The 19,179-nt window shown below is 42.8% G+C and overlaps 1 pseudogene, 1 gene segment (V, D, J or C) and 1 further gene; all 3 read left to right on the forward strand.

Annotated features, from left to right (window-relative positions):
• IGL (immunoglobulin lambda locus) overlaps window positions 1-19,179 on the forward strand; it is an 896,838-nt gene that overhangs the window by 297,526 nt on the left and 580,133 nt on the right.
• IGLV1-50 (immunoglobulin lambda variable 1-50 (non-functional)) lies at window positions 3,750-4,215 on the forward strand. The segment is given in 2 exon segments: window positions 3,750-3,795; window positions 3,906-4,215. Coding segments are annotated over 2 exon segments (356 nt in total).
• ASH2LP3 (ASH2L pseudogene 3) lies at window positions 16,125-17,566 on the forward strand (annotated as a pseudogene).

Consider the following 19,179-nt stretch of genomic DNA (forward strand, 5'->3'; position numbering starts at 1 on the left):
TAGCGCCCCAGTGAGGAGAAGAAAGAGTTAGAAATCAGGAATCTACTCAGGGCTCCCCTCTCTCCCCTTTCCCAGCCTCCCCTGGCTTTCTCTTTCTACAGAAACACCAAGGAGGCAGCCACCAAGGACGAGGGGAGGCCCAGGCATTATACCAGGCAGCGGAGCCAGCCAGTCCCCCCAGATGGTGGAGGGAGGTGGTGGAGGTGTCTGGGACCAGAAAATAGTGAGGACCCTCTTACTGAAGTGAGGACGGGTGGCATAAACTGAGGCCCAGATGGTGGACCAGATCTCCTGAGCCATCTACTCATTTCTTCGTGTGTTCCAGTTTGGGTAAGAATAGGCTAAAAAAAAAAAAAAAAGGCTTTGAAGAGGTTCCTTTCCTCAGATAAGAATTCGTAGAGGATTATTGCCCACTCAGGCATTGAGGGGAGGCTGAGCCTCACTCTCAGGCCAATAGAACTGGGGGCTTTCAAGGGAATTTGATTGTACTGAGCTCCCAGACTCTGACATCTAAGATTTTTGCCCTCGTAGCCGAACCCAGCACTGATACCAAAATGGATGAAGGCTGATAGATAAGCCTAGAATATTCTAGCTGGCACCATCTCGTGGAAAAGAGAATCAAGTTAGAATATTGATGTGATAAGGTGGCATCGCACAGTGAGGGGAGGAGAGCTTGCATGGGGGAGGGTAGAGGAGCCACTAGAGGGCTGGACAAGGAGGAGACAGTCTGAGGTAAGTTTGTGAGGAAAACTCCAGATGCTTCAGAGAAGATGGACAAGGAGGTAGGCAGTGTGAAGGCCATGGGACCAGCTCTAGTCACCGGGAGAGAGTGGTCAGATTCAGCACCAGTGTCTGGGGAGGAGGTACTGAAGCCTGGGTGAGGGGAGAGGCTCAAGGCTGGCCTTAGGACCTGAGTGGGGCACAGTGATCACACTGCTGGGGGGTCCTTCAAGTGCAAGGGGGCTGCAGGAAGGCTTGAGCTCATTGTCACAATGAAAACTTAGACAACAGCTCCCCAGCCTTGTTCAAAGGTGTCACAGGACTTTTTCCTCTCCACATGGCAACGTGGAGAAGAAAACTTATCTCTGAGATATATAAGATGTTAGTTCTCCATAACCTCTCTTGTCCCCTGGCTGAATTCCTATTTGGAAACAAAATGACTCTCCAGTTTTATATATGACATCCTCACAAAAAAAAAGTTCCAGAATGAGAAAGATCTGCCCTCCCTGACCCACTGGTGAGGAATCTCAGCCTTCAGGACAACCAGACTAAATCATTCATGCCATCTCCCATGACAGCATCATGTGGACCAGGGAGCCTACCTTATGGGTTTGGGCCACACACTGCCTGTCCCTAGCATTGCAGCTGGGGACACTTACATGCTGAACTCATGGCTGGGAGATCTGAGGTCCAGACATGACAGGAAAAGGAAAAAGACCAGGAGCTCTGCCTAAGTAGCCCCCCTGTGTGAATCACTCTACCCTCCACCCTCATCTTCAGTTCGTGATGGGTATTGTCTTGTGAAAACTGAAAGCTGGGCTGGGACACAGGCAAGAGAGTCTCTGACTCACAAATCTCCATCGTGGGCTCTCTGGCCTTTCTGATATTCTTTTCACACATCAATTCTGGGCCAAGACACATCCATGCTCATCAAGAAGGCATTGATAGGAGAATCAGGTAGCCTCCAGAGAGACAGGAAGCAGATAAACACCCTCATGTTGGCCTCCTAAGCCCAGAGGAGAAAAAAAAAAGTTGGAGGGGAAGAAGTTCAAGAAGCCACACTAGAAGCCACTGATTACCATCACCTCGGCACCTGTCCTCCATCTGCCCCTCTTTCAAGTGAGGACCAGACTCGGGACAGCACCTGCACCTCCCCCTCTGTCCATGCACTGTGTAGGGAGCCTCCTTCTGCTCTCATCTCAAGGTGGCTGCTCCGCCAGGTCAGCCGTATCACTGCTGAGAGTCTTCCCTGGGTCCTGGTCACAGGGTCTGGGATCAGCAGCAACCTGGCTTTGATTCAGCTCTGACCCTGCCCCTTCAGGACACAAAGCCCATTATTAAAGGGATAACTGAACTCTCCTAGTTCACTCAACCTTAGATTTTCCTTCTCAGTGTCCTTCTAGAAAGTGCCGCCTCTACTAAATGATTTCATGTTATTTGCTCAGGTCTAGAGCTATTTGATTTCCAAAATTCTATACTCTTCTGTTCTCATTCCCGGTCATGGCTCATTTTCCCTCAGCAGCTAATGATGCTAATCATGTATCTACCCCCCATTGTCACAAAAAAGAGAGATGGAAGAGTTCCTTAGATAAATACAGGGTTAGCAAAGAAAAGTTTCATTATCTCTTAAGAATTACTCCAAGATCTGGCCAGGCGTGGTGGCTCATGCCTGTAATCCTAGCACTTTGGGAGTCCAAGGTAGACAGGTCACGAGATCAGGAGATCGAGACCATCCTGGCTAACATGGTGAAAACCCATCTCTACTAAAAATACAAAAAATTAGCCAGGCATGGTGGTGGGCACTTGTAGTCCCAGCTACTGAGGAGGCTGAGGCAGGAGAACAGCGTGAACCCGGGAAGTGGAGCTTGCAGGGAGCCGAGATCATGTCTCTGCACTCCAGCCTGGGCAACAGAGCGAGACTCCGTCTCAAAAAAAAAAAATAAAGAATTACTCCAAGATCTAAGAAAATTAATTCCAGTTCTTCAAGAGTTTACTCCTCAGAAACAACAGCATGAATACATTAGGTAGTGAATGTTCTTGGTCTTCTCAATGAATAACGTCTGAAAGGTTCAGAGTATATGTTTCAAAAAGGTAAGTGCATAACTTTCAAAAAAATGTAGTATTAACATGTCAACAATTTTAATTGGTATATATATTTCTGAAAAAAAAAGCAGTATGATGGTAAAAGAAATGTAAAAAAGCCTTTGTAAAACCCAGTGCTTACAGTCCACCAGGATAGCACCTGTGAAGCAAATTTCCTTTGCTGAAGATACACCGCCTTTTAGAATAATAGCAAGATAGTTTGAATTTGTCTTCTTCTCTCACAGCAATCTAAAAATTAACTTGATCCCATTTATATGACATATCTAGAAATATTCCTGTACATGTGGACATTCCCATCGCACACCTCCCATCCAGGCTGTCCTAAAGTGGCATCTCCTCTTCTTCTGCTCATGTTCTCCCCCTCTCCTCACCTCTCCTGCTGACACGTGGCTCCTCCCTGCCTTCCTCTCCAGTAGCCCCAGCAGATCAGGCCCAACCAGTGAACAAGCTCCTGGACTTCTTGGATTTCTGAGGACTTGCCCTGCCAGGGTGTCTTTCTCAATCACAATCTCTCCTTCCCGGGAGTCCAGTTCTCCTAGATCCTGTTATTTATCTAATGTTATACATCTGTATCTACTTGGTGGACTTCCCTACATCTTCACCCGAACCCCAGGAATCTTCAGGTCATGCCCATATGACCTTAGTTCTCCTGGAGTCCCTTCTTCCTTCTTCCCCTGTGATCCCACCAAGTGGAGATCTCTTCTCAGACCCTGGAGTGCAGCAGGGACTTCTCTGGTCTCTGCCCCAGGGATTAAGGGGGTGGAATTGAGGACTCCTGTGCCCTTCCTATGCCTGTGTTTTCATCAGGGTCAGCTGCACAAGGTAGGGATTCCCACTCTCAGAGTATGAAGAGGGGCAGGGAGAGATTTGGGGAAGCTCTGCTTCAGCTGTGGGCACAGGAGGCAGCACTCAGGACAATCTCCAGCATGGCCTGGTCTTCTCTCCTCCTCACTCTCCTCGCTCACTGCACAGGTGACTGGATGCAGATCGAGGGGAGGGTCCCTGGGAAGCCTATGGATTCTTGCTTTCTCCTCTTGTCTCTAGAAGCAGAATCATGATGCCTGTGTCTCTCCCACTTCCAGGGTCCTGGGCCCAGTCTGTGCTGACGCAGCCGCCCTCAGTGTCTGGGGCCCCAGGGCAGAGGGTCACCATCTCCTGCACTGGGAGCAGCTCCAACATTGGGGCGGGTTATGTTGTACATTGGTACCAGCAGCTTCCAGGAACAGCCCCCAAACTCCTCATCTATGGTAACAGCAATCGGCCCTCAGGGGTCCCTGACCAATTCTCTGGCTCCAAGTCTGGCACCTCAGCCTCCCTGGCCATCACTGGACTCCAGTCTGAGGATGAGGCTGATTATTACTGCAAAGCATGGGATAACAGCCTGAATGCTCACACAGTGCTCCAGGCCCAGGGGGAGGTGAGAGAAGAACCCCCTTCCTCCTCTACCAGGAGGGTGAGCGCTCAGCTGCTACTGCTCAGGCGTGGCCTGTGGCTTCTGCTGCTGCAGCTTCCCCCATGGTCCAGGGGCATCCAGGGCCCTGCCTCAGAGTAGAGGCTTCTCTTTTTTTCTGTTCTGAGAATCATGCACAGCAGCTCCTTCCTAGGAACAGGGCCTCCAGGGACCAGAACATCCATCTCTTTGTACCTTGGGACACAGGGTCTCTGCAGTGAAGTCCTGGGCTGAGGTGTCAGGTCCAACTGTCATCACAAACCTGATGCAGAACCTGTGTCTCCATCAACCTCATTTCCTGATTTCTGGAAGTTCCGACTGTTGGCTTTCTGTCCCTGCTCCTCAGGGTGAATCGCTTGGCTTCTTTCCTCCCCAGCCTACTCTTTTTAATAAAACCCTTTCCAAGGAGGAATAATGTCCATACGAGAAAACACCTATATTTATAATATACCATGACACCCATTTTGGCATGTTTCTGGATCCTTGAAAGCATCACCACCACCGAGCTATGCAAGCTGTGACCAACCCCAGCAGCTCCTCATGACCCTTTGTCATCTCCCTTTCTACCCCAATGCCCTCCCGGGAAGCCACAGATCCTCCTCTGTCATTAGTGTTTGGTTTCCATTTTCTGGAAGGTATCAGTGTTCACAAACATTCTCTTGCCATTTGTTGAGGCTTCTTTCACTCCGCACACTTTTTGAGATTCTCCCTGTTGTTGCTGAATGACATCTCATCCCATAAAGGGCTCATCAGTACCTTTGAGGGCCCCTAGCCATTTTGCCTTTCATGCCCATTCCTGCATTTGTATATACACATATAGAATCCAGGGTAGCCTATATTCCTTTTAATCTGAATTTTAAAAAATCAATACATTTTCTGGGGCCCCTAACAGCGTCGAGTCCTGTAGGCATTTGATCTTCTCTCTCCAGTGATGCTCAGCCCTACTTGCATCTCATGCGATTATACTCACTTCTCGCCATTATTCAACAATTTTGTTTTATTCTCTTGGTTTTAAATAGGCAATACACAAACAAGATGCCACATGAGAACTATGGAAACCACTTCCCCCTCCTACATCCTGTCTCCTGGCCTGTTGGTTTCTCTCAGCTGAAGTGACCAGGAATGCTTACATTTATGTTCCCTCCCAGCCAGGATCTGTGTGTAGAAACAAGGGGGTCTGTCTGTGTCTGTGTGGGCAACCACATTATGTTTTCTTTAGTACCACTACAACCTTACTATTGACAAACAACTTTTTAATTCCTGAGACTGTGACTTCATGTAATCCTGACAGTAGCCCGATTATTGCTTTTGAGGCAGTGGTCCTGATTGGAGAGGAACTGTTTGTGACCTGGGGATGGCGTTCTCTAATTTATCAAATGTAAACACTGGAGGTCAGTTAAATTTGAATTCGGTAAAACAATGATGAAGAATCAATAGGTAGGCTGGGCGCCGTGGCTCACACCTTAACCCTGGCACTTTTGGAAGCCAAGGTTGATGGATTGCTTCAGGCCAGGAGTTCGAGACAAGTCTGACCCACGTGGTGAAACCCCGTATCTCCTAAAAATACAAAAATTAGCTGGGCCTCATGACATATACCTGTAATCCCAGTGACTCAGGAGGTTGAGGCATGAGAATCACTTGAACCCAAGAGGCAGAGGTTGCAGTGAGCTGAGACCGGGCCACTAACTCCAGGTGGAGTAACAGAGTGACACTCTGACTCAAAAAAAAATACAAAAAAAAAAAAAAAAGAGTCAGTATGTGTATCCCCCAGACAATATTGTGTATTTAAATATAAACATAACTGGGTGCCCTTTAATTTATCTGGCAACTCCACACAGTGTCACAACCTGGAAGAGGCATAGCTGGGGCAGTCATCCCCTTACTGATGCTGGGTCTAGGGGCTTAACTACAAAGACAGAGCTTTGCTAGCAAAGATACACTCAAGTGAGCACATCAGTGAGCATGAAATGCATGTGATATAATTCCCAATGAATGATGCCTCCTCACTTCTCTAATTATTCTTTCTATTATCCTTCAAGTCTGCAGATTCAGGGCCTCCCCAGGGGTTGCTTCAGCCTGAGCGCTAGACAAGTGATCTCATGTCCTGTCACACCCAGATGCATGGGGCTACTCTGTCCCCACACAGAGGGGCTTCAGCCTGGGGTGCATAAGTAACATGTGAGAGAGAGAAGAGCTCAGCCTGGCTCTGCTTATATCTAGTGAGAGACCAACTTCGGGTTCATTTGATGCTGGAGGCTGGTGAGCTGAGAGCAGAGGAGAGACCAAGCCTTAGAGTGCAGGGCTTTCAGGAGAGAAATTGGGAACCTGGAAATGGGCCACACTCTTCAGTGAGGAAGAAGCAGGCAGCTCTAGGCACAGCCCTGCATTCCTAGTGGCTTCCCCTTCATCAAGCTTGACTCCCTGCTTTGATGTCTGTCAGGGAATCTACTTCAGCAAGGTGAAGATCCCAGGGCTTTACTAAAAATAGCAGTAGACCAGGCAGGTATGTCATGGTTCAAGAGTTCTGTGCACAGAAATAAATACAGATGCATATTCACAAGGGCCCTCACAGTTGTCTCTTTTGGAGTGGAAGAGATGAAGAAAGGCAGGGAGAAATTGAAAGACTCAGTCGGTCTGGGCCTGGGGCAGCACTGGATGCTGTGGACTTATCCCTGAAGGGTCTGCAGGTGACCACAGCCAGGAAGCCAGCCCCTGCTATGACCCTGTGTCATCTGCTCACTGCTCACTGAGCTCAGCAGCTGTGTCCTCACAGGAAACTGGGTGCAGCCAGCTTGGCCTTCTCCACCCCACCTGGAAAATGTGGGCAGGTGACTGTCAGCATTGAGATCCTATGAAGGGGCTGGGAGACAAGGGAAGAGGGCTGATTTGCATGAAGCAATCATTCCACACCCTTATCTTTAAACTATATCCCATTAATGGAAGCTCTGGGGCCATCCAAACCTGATCAATCTAAGAGGGGTTATCAGCTGGAGGTGGTCAGAGTGAGGAAGAAACTGGCTTCCTTGAAAGACTCATCAACACAGCCACCAACTCTGGGACAAATGGGGTGACTCCCTATAACTGTCACCCGATATTAGCCACAGGAGCCTGAGCCTAGTCCCCTCACCTTATTGCTTCTGATTCTGGTCCAGTCCCCTGTTGTCCCTGGACCCTTGCCTATGTCTGAGTCCAGGGTGGCAGGGGTAGCCCCATCTCAGTCAACATCTATAGAGAGGTAAGAGCTACTACGGCTTCAAGCAGAGTCCACAGTTTTACCCATGAGGGCCTCTTTTGCTCCCCCACCCTGTCACACAGGTGACTACTGCTGTGGGTCTGGTGGAGTGGCCCCTGGCCCCTGAAGGACACAAGGTATTCCTTCCTCTCTAACACCAGGCATATAGTGGAGAAGGTATGGGTGGGTATAGAACAGATTGGCTTTTCTAGATGCAAATCGGTAAGACCCTGGCTACAGAAAAATTATTTCACAAAACCCCACACCCTTTCGTGACAAAAACACTCAGTGAATTATGAATAGAAGGAAATTACCTCAACATAGTAAACCCTATGTATGAAACTCCCACAGCTAACATCACGTGCAATCTGAAAGACTGAAGATATTTCCTGTAACTTCAGGAACAAAGCAAGGATGCGCACTTTCACCACTTCTATTCCAAATAGTATTGGAAGACCTAGCCAGAGCAATTAGCCAAGAAAAAGAAATAAACAGAAAAGAAATTAGAAATGAAAAAGTAAAATAATCTCTGTTTTCAGATGACCTAATCTTATATGTAGAAAATCCATAAAACTTCCACCAAAATAGCAAACTCTTCTCAGCTAAGGGACCATGTTCTAACCCAATGAAGGGAAGCTAAGAACCTTGATAAAAGGTTACAGGAACAGCTAAATGGAATAATCAGTTTAGAGAGAAACATAAATAACCTGATGGAGCTGAAAAACACAGCAGAAGAACTTCATGAAGCATACACAAGTATCAATAGCTGAACCAAACCAGTGGAAGAAAGTATATCAGAGACTGAAGATCAACTTACTGAAATGGGTGTGAAGACAAGATAAGGCAAAAAAGCAGGAAAAGAAATGAACAAAGCCTCCAAGAAATATGGGACTATGTGAAACGACCAAACTTACAATTGATTGGTGTACCTGAAAGTGACGGGGAGAATGGAACCACGTTGGAAAACACACTTCAGGATATTATCCAGGAGAAATTCCCCAACCTGGCAAGACAGGCCAACATTCAAATTCAGGAAATACAAGGAAGATCACTAAGATACTCCTCGAGAAGAGCAAGCCAAAGACACATAACCGTCAGATTCACCAAGGTTGAAATGAAGGAAACAATGTTAAGTGGATCCAGAGAGAAAGGTCAGGTTACCTACAAAGGGAAGCCCATCAGACTAACAGCAGATCTCTCTGCGGAAACCCTACAAGCCAGAAGAGAGTGGGAGCCAATATTCAACTTCTTAAAGAAAAGAATTTTCAGTCCAGAATTTTATATCCAGCCAAACTAAGCTACATAAGTGAAGGAGAAATAAAATTCTTTACAGATAAGCAAATGCTGAGGTATTTTATCACCACCAGGCCTACCTTACAAGAGCTCCTGAAGGAAGCACTAAATATGGAAAGGAAAAACTGCTACCAGCCACTGCAAAAACACACCAAAATATAAAGACCAATGATGCTATGAAGAAACTGCATCAAGTAATGTGCAAAATAACCAGTTAGCATCATGATGACAGGATAAAATTCCCACATAATAATATTAATTTTAAATGTAAATGGGCCAAATGCCCCAATTAAAAGACACAGACTGGCAAATTGGGTAAAGAGTCAAGACCCATTGGTGTGGTATATTCAGGAGACCCATCTCACATCAAAAGACACACATAGGCTCAAAATAAAGGAATGGAGGAATATTTACCAAGCAAATGGAAAGAAAAAAAAAAGCTGGGGTCGCAATCCTAGTCTCTGATAAAACAGACTTTAAACAAACAAGGATCAAAAAAGACAAAGAAAGGCATTACATAATGGTAAAGGGATCAATGCAACAAGAAGAACTAACTATGCTAAATATATATGCACCCAATACAGGAGCACCCAGTTTCATAAAACAAGTTCTTAGAGACCTACAAAGAGACTTAAACTCCCAGATGATAATACTGGGAGACTTTGACACTCCACTGTCAATATTAAATCAATGAGACAGAAAATGAACAAGGATATCCCAACCTTAGAAAACCCCATCGTCTCAGCCCCAAAACTCCTTAAGCTGATGAGCAACTTCAGTAAAGTCTCAGGATACAAAATCAATGTGAAAAATTCACAAGTATTTCTATGCATCAGCAATAGACAAGCAGAAAGCCAAATCATGAGTGAACTCCCATTCCCAATTGCTACGAAGAAAATAAAATACCTAGGAATACAACTTACAAGGGATGTGAAGGACCTCTTCAAGGAGAACTACAAACCATTGCTCAAGGAAATAAGAGAGAACATGAACTCAGCTCTGGACCAAGTGGACCTATAGATATCTACAGAAAACTTTACCCCAAATCAATAGAATATACATTCTTCTCAGTGCCACATAACATATATTCTAAAATTGACCACATAATTGGAAGTAAAACATCCTTAGCAAATGCGAAAGAATGGAAATCATAACAAACAGTCTTTCAGACTACCGAGCAATCAAATTAGAACTCAGGATGAAGAAACTCACTCAAAACCACACAACTACACGGAAATTGAACAACCTGCTCCTGAATGACTACTGGGTAAATAATGAAATTAAGGCAGAAATAAAGAAGTTATTTGAAGCCAATGAGAACAAAGAGACAATGTACCAGAATCTCTGGGACACAACTAGAAAAGTGTGTAGAGGGAAATTTATAGCACTAAATGCCACAGCAGAAAGTGGGAAAGATCTAAAATTGACACCCTAACATCACAATTAAAGGAAGTATAGAAGCAAGAGCAAATAAATTCAAAAGCTAGCAGAAGACAAGAAATAACTAAGATCGGAGCAGAGCTGAAAGAGATAGAGACGTGAATAACCCTTCAAAAAAATCAATGAATCCAGGAGCTGGTTTTTTGAAAAGATTAACAATCTAGATAGACCACTAGCTAGACTAATAAATAAGAAAGAAGAATCAAATAGATACAATAAAAAAGATAAAGGGGATATCACTACTGATCTCCCAGAAATGCGAACTACCATCAGAGAATACTACAAACACCTCTATGCAAATAAACTAGAAAATCTAGAAGAAAGGATAGATTCCTGGACACATACACCCTCCCAAGACTAAATCAGGAAGAAGCTGAATCCCTGAATAGACCAATAACAAGTTCTGGTATTGTGGCAGTAATTAATAGCCTACCAACCAAAAAAAGCCCAGGACCAGACAGATTCACAGCTGAATTATACCAGAGGTACAAAGAGGAGCTGATACCATTCCTTCTGAAACCATTCCAAAGAATAGAAAAAGAGAGACTCCTCTCTAACTCATTTTGTGAAGCTAGCATCATCCTGATATCAAAATCCGGCAGAGACACAACAAAAACAGAAAATTCCGGGCCAATATCTTTGATGAACATTGATGCGAAAATCCTCAATAAAATACTGGCAAACTGAATCCAGCAGCACATCAAAAAACTTACCCACCACAATCAAGTCGGCTTCATCGCTGGGATGCAAGTCTGGTTCAACATACACAAATCAATAAATGTAATCCATCGCATAAACAGAACTAAAGACAAAAACCACATGATTATCTCAATAGATGCAGAAAAGCCCTTTGATAAAATTCAACATCCCTTCATGCTAAAACCTCTCAATAAACTAAGTGTTGATGGAACATATCTCAAAATAATAAGAGGAATTTATGAAAAACCCATAGCCAACATCATACTGAATGGGCAAAAGCTGGAAGCATTCACTTTGAAAACCACCACAAGACAAGGATGCCCTCTCTGAACACTTCTGTTCAACATAGCATTGGAAGTTCTAGCCAGGGCAATCAGGCAAGAGAAATAAAGCGTATTTGAATAGGAAGAGAGGAAGTCAAATTGTCTCTGTTTGCAGACGATATGACTGTATAGTTAGAAAACCCAATCATCTCAGCCCAAAAACTCCTTAAGCTGATAAGCAACTCCAGCAAAGTCCCAGGATACAAAATCAATGTGCAAAAATCGCAAGCATTCCTACACACCAGAAATAGACAAGCAGAGAGCCAAATCATGAGTGAACCCTCATTCACAATTGCTACAAAGAAAATAAAATGCCTAGGAGTACAACTTACAGGGACTTGAAGGACCTCTTCAAGGAGAACTATACACTACTGCTGAAGGAAATAAGAAAGGACACAAAGGAATGAAAAAACATTCCATTCTCATGGATAGGAAGAATCAATATCGTGAAAATGGCCATATTGCCCAAAGTAATCTATAGATTCAATGCTATTCCCATGAAGACACCACTGACTTTTTCTGCAGAATAGAAAAAAGCTACTTTAAATTTCATATGGAACCAAGAAAGAACCTGGATAACCAAGACAATTCTAAACAAAAAGAACAAAGCTGGAGGCATCACACCACCTGACTTCAAATTACACTACCAGGCAACAGTAACCAAAACAGCATGGTACTGGTACCAAAGCAGATAAATAGATCAATGGTACAGAGCAGAGACCTGAGAAATAACACCACACATCTACAACCATCTGATCTTTGACAAACTTGACAAAAACAAGCAATGGGGAAAGGATTCCCTATTTGATAAGTGGTGCTGGGAAAACTGGTAGCCATAGACAGAAAACAGAAACTGGACCGCTTCCTTACACCGTATACAAAAATTAACTCAAAACGGATTAAAGACTTAAATGTAAAACCCAAAACCATAAAAACCCTGGAAGAAAACCTAGGCAATTCCATTCAGGACACAGGTGTGGGCAAATACTTTATGATGAAAATACCAAAAGCGATGGCAACAAAAGCTAAATTGAAAATGGGATCTAATCAAACTAAAGAACTTCGGCAGAGTAAAAGAAACAATCATCAGAGTAAACAGGCAACCTACAGAATGGGAGAAAATTTTTGCAAGCTACCCATTTGACAAAGGTCTAATATTTAGAATCTACAAGGAACTTAAACAAATTTACAAGAAATAAACAAACAACCCCATCAAAAAATGGACTAAGGATATGAACAAACACTTCTCAAAAGAAGACATGTATGTGGCCAACAAACATATGAAAAACAGCGCATCATCACTGGTCATTAGAGAAATGCAAATCAAAACCACAGTGAGGTACCATCTCACACCAGTTAGAATGGCAATTATTAAACAGTCGGGAAACAACAGATGTTGGTGAGGCTGCGGAGAAATTGGAATGCTTTTACACTGTCAGTGGGAATGTAAATTAGTTCAACCATTGTGGAAGACAGTGTGGCAATTCCTCAAGGATCTAGAACCAGAAATACCATTTGAGACCAGTAATCCCATTCCTGGGTATATACCCAAAGGATTATAAATCATTCTACCATAAAGACACATGGACACATATGTTTATTGCAGCACTCTATGCAGTAGCAACGACTTGGAACCAATCCAAATGGCCATCAATGACAGACTGAATATAGAAAATGTGGCATATATACACTGTGGAATACTATGCAGCCATAAAAAAGAATGAGTTCATGTTCTTTGCAGGGACATAGATGAAGCTGGAAGCCATCATTCTCAGCAAAGTAACACTGAAACAGAAAATCAAACACTGCATGTTCATACTCATAAGTGGGAGTTGAAGAATGAGAACACGTGGACACAGGGAGGGAAACATCGTATACCAGGGCCTGTCCGGGGGGGCTGGGGGTCAAGGGGAGGGAGAGCATTAGGATGAATACCTCATGCATACCGGGATTAAAACCTAGATGACAGGTTGATAGGTGTAGTAAACCACCATGTCACATATATACCTCTGTAACAAACCTGCGGGTTCTGCACACATGTATCCCAGAACTTAAAGTAAAATAAACAAATAAATAAATAAATAAATAAATAAATAAAATAAGTCCCACCAAAACAAAAACTGTTAGAACTATTAAATACATTTGGTAATATTTCAGAATACAAAATCAACACATAAAACCATCTAATGGACAGCCATGATGGCTCATACCTGTAATCCCAGCTCTTGGGGAAGCTGAGGTGAAAGGATTGGTTAGGATCAAGAGAGTTCAATACCAGCGTGGGAAATGAAGTGAGACCCTGTCTCAAAAACAAACAAACAAACGAACAAGCAAACAAACAGGGTTCTTATATTTCTATACTTAATCAACCAAACAGGAAACAAGAAGACAGGACACAACCCAAAATGAAATTAAGAAAACAATTCAATTTACAATAGCATCAGAAAGAATAAAATACTTAAGAATCAAGAAGGGGACTCTTCTATACTGAAAACTATAAAACATTGCTAAAAGAAATTAAAGAATACACAAATAAATGGAAAGAAACATTGCTAAAAGAAATTAAAGAATACACAAATAAATGGAAAGAAAACATTTGTTCATGAATTGAAAAACTTGATATTGTTAAGAAATCAATACAAACCAAAAGAAATCTACAGATTCATTTCAATCTCTATTAAAATTCCAATAATTTTTTTTGCAAAAGTAGAAAAAATTAATTCTAAAATTTACATAGACTATCACAGGACTCCAAATAGCCAAAATGATCTTCTAAAAGAAGAACAGTGTTGGAGATTTCACACTTCCTGATTTCAAAACATACTACAGAGCTACACCAATCAAAGCAGAGTGGTACAGATAGACAGACAAATAGATAGACAGACAAATAGAATAGAATTGAGCACCCAGAAAGAATCTCTTAGTTATATGATCAAATGATTTTAAATAAGGGTAGCAAGACCATTGAGTGGGGAAAGGACAGACTCCATAAAAAATGTTTTTGAGAAAACTGGATATCCACATGCAATGTGGAAATGGATAAAAGACCCAAATGGAAAAGCCATAACTGTAAAAATCTTAATAGAAAACACTAGGAAGAAGTTTAACAACATTGGGTTTGGAAATGATTTCTTGTATTTGACGCCAAAAGCACAAGAAAAAAAAAAGAAAAAGAATATAGATAAATTGGATTTCATCAAATTGTAAAATTTATGTGCAACAAAGGACTCTATCAACAGAGGGAAAATGCAAATCATGGAGTCAGGAAATATTTTGCAAACATTGTATCTGGTAAGGTGTCCAGGATATAGAAAGAACTCCTACAACTCAACAGGAATAAAAAAATAGAAACAATCTGAATAAAACATGGGCCCAAGACTTGAATAGATATTTCTCCGAAGAAGATCAATAAATGGCCAATAAGCACATGAAAAGATGTTTAGCATCACTAATCATTAGAGAAATCCAAATCAAACCACAATAATACACAACTTCACACCCAGTAGGATGGCGTTACCAAAATAATAGAAAATAACAAGTTCTGGCAAAGATGAGTAGAAATTGTGGAGAAACTATAAAATGATGCATCCACTGTGGAAGCCTTATGGCAGTTCCTCAAAAAATTAAACATAGAATTACCATTTTAACAGAATTTTCACTTCTGGGTATGTGCCTAAAAGAATTCAGAGCAGGGTCTCAAAGAGAAATTTGTACACCCTTGTTCATAGCAGCATTGTTCACAATAGCTAAAAGGTAGAGGCAGCCCAAGTGTCCATCTAATGGATAAATGGGATATAGTATACACACACAAGGGAATAGTATTCAGCCTTAAAGAGAGTGTTCTGGCCCATGCTATGGCACAGATAAACCTGAAAGACATCATGCCAGCAGAAATAAGCTGGCTTCAAAAGAACAAAAATTGTTTCATTACCCTTATATGAGGTACCTAGAGTAGTAAAAGCTACCGTGACAAGAAGTATAATGAAGTTTCCCAGGTCCTTGGGGTGGAGAGTAGGGGGAGAATGGACAGTTATTTGTTTTTTGTTTAGTTTAGTTTTGCTTTGTTTTGTTTTTGAGACTGAGTCTCCCTCTGTCACCCAGTCTGGAGTGCAGTGGCACAATCTTGGCTCACTGCAACCTCTGCCTCCTGGGTTCAAGCGATTCTCATGCCTCAGCCTCCCAAGTAGCTGGGATTACAGGCATGCACCACCATGTTCAGCTAACTTTTGGTATTTTTTAGTAGAGATGGGGTTTTACCATTTTGCTCAGGCTAATCTTGAACTCCTGGGCTCCAGTGATCCACCGACCTTGGCCTCTCAAAGTGCTGAAATCAAGGAAGTGAGCCACCACACCGAGCCGGGCAGTTCTTGTTTAATGGTTGCGAAGTTTTAGTTTGGGAAGATGAAAAATTTCTGAAGATGAATGGTAGCAGTGTGATTGTACAAGTTGATTTACTTAGTGACACTGAAGTGTACACATGAAATGGTGAAGGTAACAAATTTTATGTTTGAATATTTTACCACAGTCAAAAAGAGGAAGATTTATATTTGGCACCATTGCTCTACTTCCAAGAACAGTAGAAAGATACAGTAGTAGGAGAGTGTGCACAAGTATCCAGGACGTCTTTCATTTTTTGCCAGCCCTGCAGCATCCTAACAATCCAAGAGAGCAGGAGGTGCCTCATTACAGGGGACTCAGAATAATGTGAAGAAATCTGGGGCGGGGTGGGGGCATAATGATAGCACACAGGTGCCGGACCCAGTCCAGGAGTGGCCACAAATGCAAGGGCTGCAGAAGAGGGGGAGATGAAGCTGGTGGCAGTGGTAGCAGCTGCTTCAGCTGGAAAGGGGCATCTGTTGCTTTCCAAAGTGGTTCACAGTTGAAATATCTGGCATAGATACTTCATCCTGCCTACCTTTCATGACTAACTATATTTTCATTGCAATATATGCAGTCATAGTGAGAATACCTATTTCCTCCAGATACAAGCAAACGTGAAGGAAATGTGCTTTAGTGCTTTGGCCAACTTGACATGGCAGTCACAAAAAGAGGATGAATATCCAAAGACAACCTTTTCCAGAGATAAGGTTATTATACCATTTATTGTAAATACTGGAAGTGCACAACAATCATTCAGACACCTGGGAAAATGACTTGACCAAATACAATTGTGAAAACAATGAGTAAAGAAAGTGATATATTCTTGGTAAAAGAACCACTGGATCTAGTGAGTAAAGAACCAAAAGGAGATGACCCTAGATTGGAACTTTTAGACCAGGACCTTGGTAACATTGGTCCTGTTTATGCAACAAAAACAAAGCAATACCTTGTCTACCAGTGAGAATCTGAATGAGGGAACAGCAACAGGAAGCAGCAGAAAAAAGGAAAAGAAGCTCAGTGCAAACAGCTGAATGGGGAGATCACAGGGACCACCAAGAAGGTCCAGGGTTTTCTGCTCAGTGCCTTCCCTCTCATACACCTTAGAGCACCCACTGAACAAAGATAACTACCAGTATATTCTAGCTGAGCCTGATCCCCACGCCCTTGGTCCTCAGAAGCTTGAACTTGACTGCTGGGCAAAATTCCTTATTCCTGGAGACCTCTACAGAGGCTGCTTGTATGAACAGGTTTTGTTAGCCTGACATAATTGAGCTCCCCAGTTAAAAGTCTCCAATGACCTGCTGGCTGACTGTGGTTGAACAGAAGGTCTACTCTATGGTACGGGATTCTCATGGGTTACCTTGATATCACCATGGATGAGATGCCACCAGACACTGCTGCCAGACTGGGTTGGTCCCAGTCTTTAGATAACTGTCAAGCTTCCTTAGTTTATGATAAGTTTAACTATTCTTGGGAGAATTAAAGGGAATGAAGTTCCACCAGTCCACTGGCAAACACTACTCTTCTAGCTATAGACAAGGAGACATCCTGGGATTTTATATGAATCTTCCTGAAGAAACAAAGACAGTCAAGTCATTGCCTGATACTTACAAAGATAAGGCCTTGATAAAGTTTAAGAATTATTTGTGTTTTGAGGAAAAAGACTTTGTGACTGAAGCAGAGAAGAGCCTAAAAGAGACTTCCCACAGTGAGATAAGATTTTATAAAAATGGTGTTAGTCAAGGCATGGCTTACAAAGATATTTTCAAGGGGCTTTACTTTCCAGCAATCTTACCAGAAAACAACTGCATAATTTCCATGAACATTGGACTGTGCTTCAAGTATCCTCCAAAGGATCTCACTTACTGCCCTATGAGTGACATGGGCTGGGATGCTCTGGTAGAGCACACTCTGGCTGGTGTCTTGGTGCTAGAAATGGATTCAATCACTGGACAAGAAAGTCCTTCAGGGGCAAACATAAGGACACTGAGGGTCATCTTATTCTACCTGCCTTCTCTCCTTACTTGTATCCTAGGCCAGCCTATGCTAGCGCAACTGTCCACAGATCTCTCTCTCTCTTTCTGTCTCTCTCTCGTGTGTGTGTATGTGTGTGTGTGTGTGCATGTGTGTATCAAATGATCAAACATCTTCATTCAAAAGTCCAAGCCCTGCAGCATCATGAGACAGTGCTACCACACATGAAGAAAATGTTCAAAGGGCACCAAATAGAGATCGCATGATCCAAAGTTATTTCTGATCCCAGAAAAGAATGGCACACAATCAATATGAATAGTATTAGATATCAAAATTATAGTACAATCTCATTTGTTTTTACCATAGATTCAAACTCTCTTTAGCATATTGGAAAGCAGAATCCATGTTCTACTGATGCAATTCCCCTTGACCATCATGAAAGAATTGGACTGAAAGCAGGACATTTCTGAAGTCTCTGGAGGATACGTAACATGACTGTTGGAGGGAATGCACATAGGAAGAGGTAGTGAATTATGTGTCAAGTGCCCCAACAAAAGGCTGTCAGTGTTTGTCTCTGACACATTGTTGGGGAGAAAGGTGGAGTCACAGGACACACTGCCATGGGACCCACGAGACTTGATCCTACATCCCACAGCGGGCAGCCTGCATCAACGTGGTCATGCAGGGATAGAAACACAGCCACAGAAAGCTTTCACCTGCCCAAGCAGCATCTCCCAAGAGCCAGCATGGGTGCTGTCTCTGCTCTGCTTCTTCCTGGACTGTGTCTCAGAGCCCTGAGTTCTCCCTCACCCAGTTTCCCAATCCCCCTCTTCTCCACTGGTTACCAGGGGTTAGGGGAGTGGGGAGGGGAAATAAACGTTTAAAGGGTACAAACTTTTCACTTGGGATGATGAGAAAGTTATGGAAATTCATAATGGTGATGACTGTATCACTTTTTTTTCAGAGGTGGTAACTTGCTCTGTTGCCCAGGCTGGAGTGCAGTGGTACAATGATAGCTCACTGCATCCTTGAACTCTTGGGTCTAGGCAAGCCTCCTGCCTCAGACTCCTGAGTAGCTGGGACTACAGGTGCAAGCCACCATGCCAGGCAATTCTATCACATTGTGAATATACTTAACACCACTGAATTTTACAGTTAAAAGTGATTTAAATGGCAAATTTTATGTTGTGTGTATTCTATGACAATTAAAAATACACTTGTTCAAATGTCAAAATATATATGATGTTATATTCATAAAATTTTCCTTTTCACACTTATATATTTATCCTATTCTAACTCATTCTCATCAATTAAAAAAAGTACTGTAATTACTGGTCATTATGTACTAAATTTTCCATAATTCACATTGAAGCCTTAACCCCCAATATTACTGTATTTGGAGACAGAGCATTACAGAGGGTAATTAAGATGAAATGAGATCATAAGGACCGGCATCCTTATAAGAGGAGATTAGAAAATGGACAACATAAAATGAGATGAGGACAGAGTGAGAAGGTGGTCATCTACAAGTGTGGACACATCTTCAGTTTGTGTGGAGTAACAGT

Source organism: Homo sapiens, chromosome 22 (genome assembly GCF_000001405.40).
Source record: "Homo sapiens chromosome 22, GRCh38.p14 Primary Assembly".
In the NCBI taxonomy this organism is placed as follows: Eukaryota; Metazoa; Chordata; class Mammalia; order Primates; family Hominidae; genus Homo; species Homo sapiens.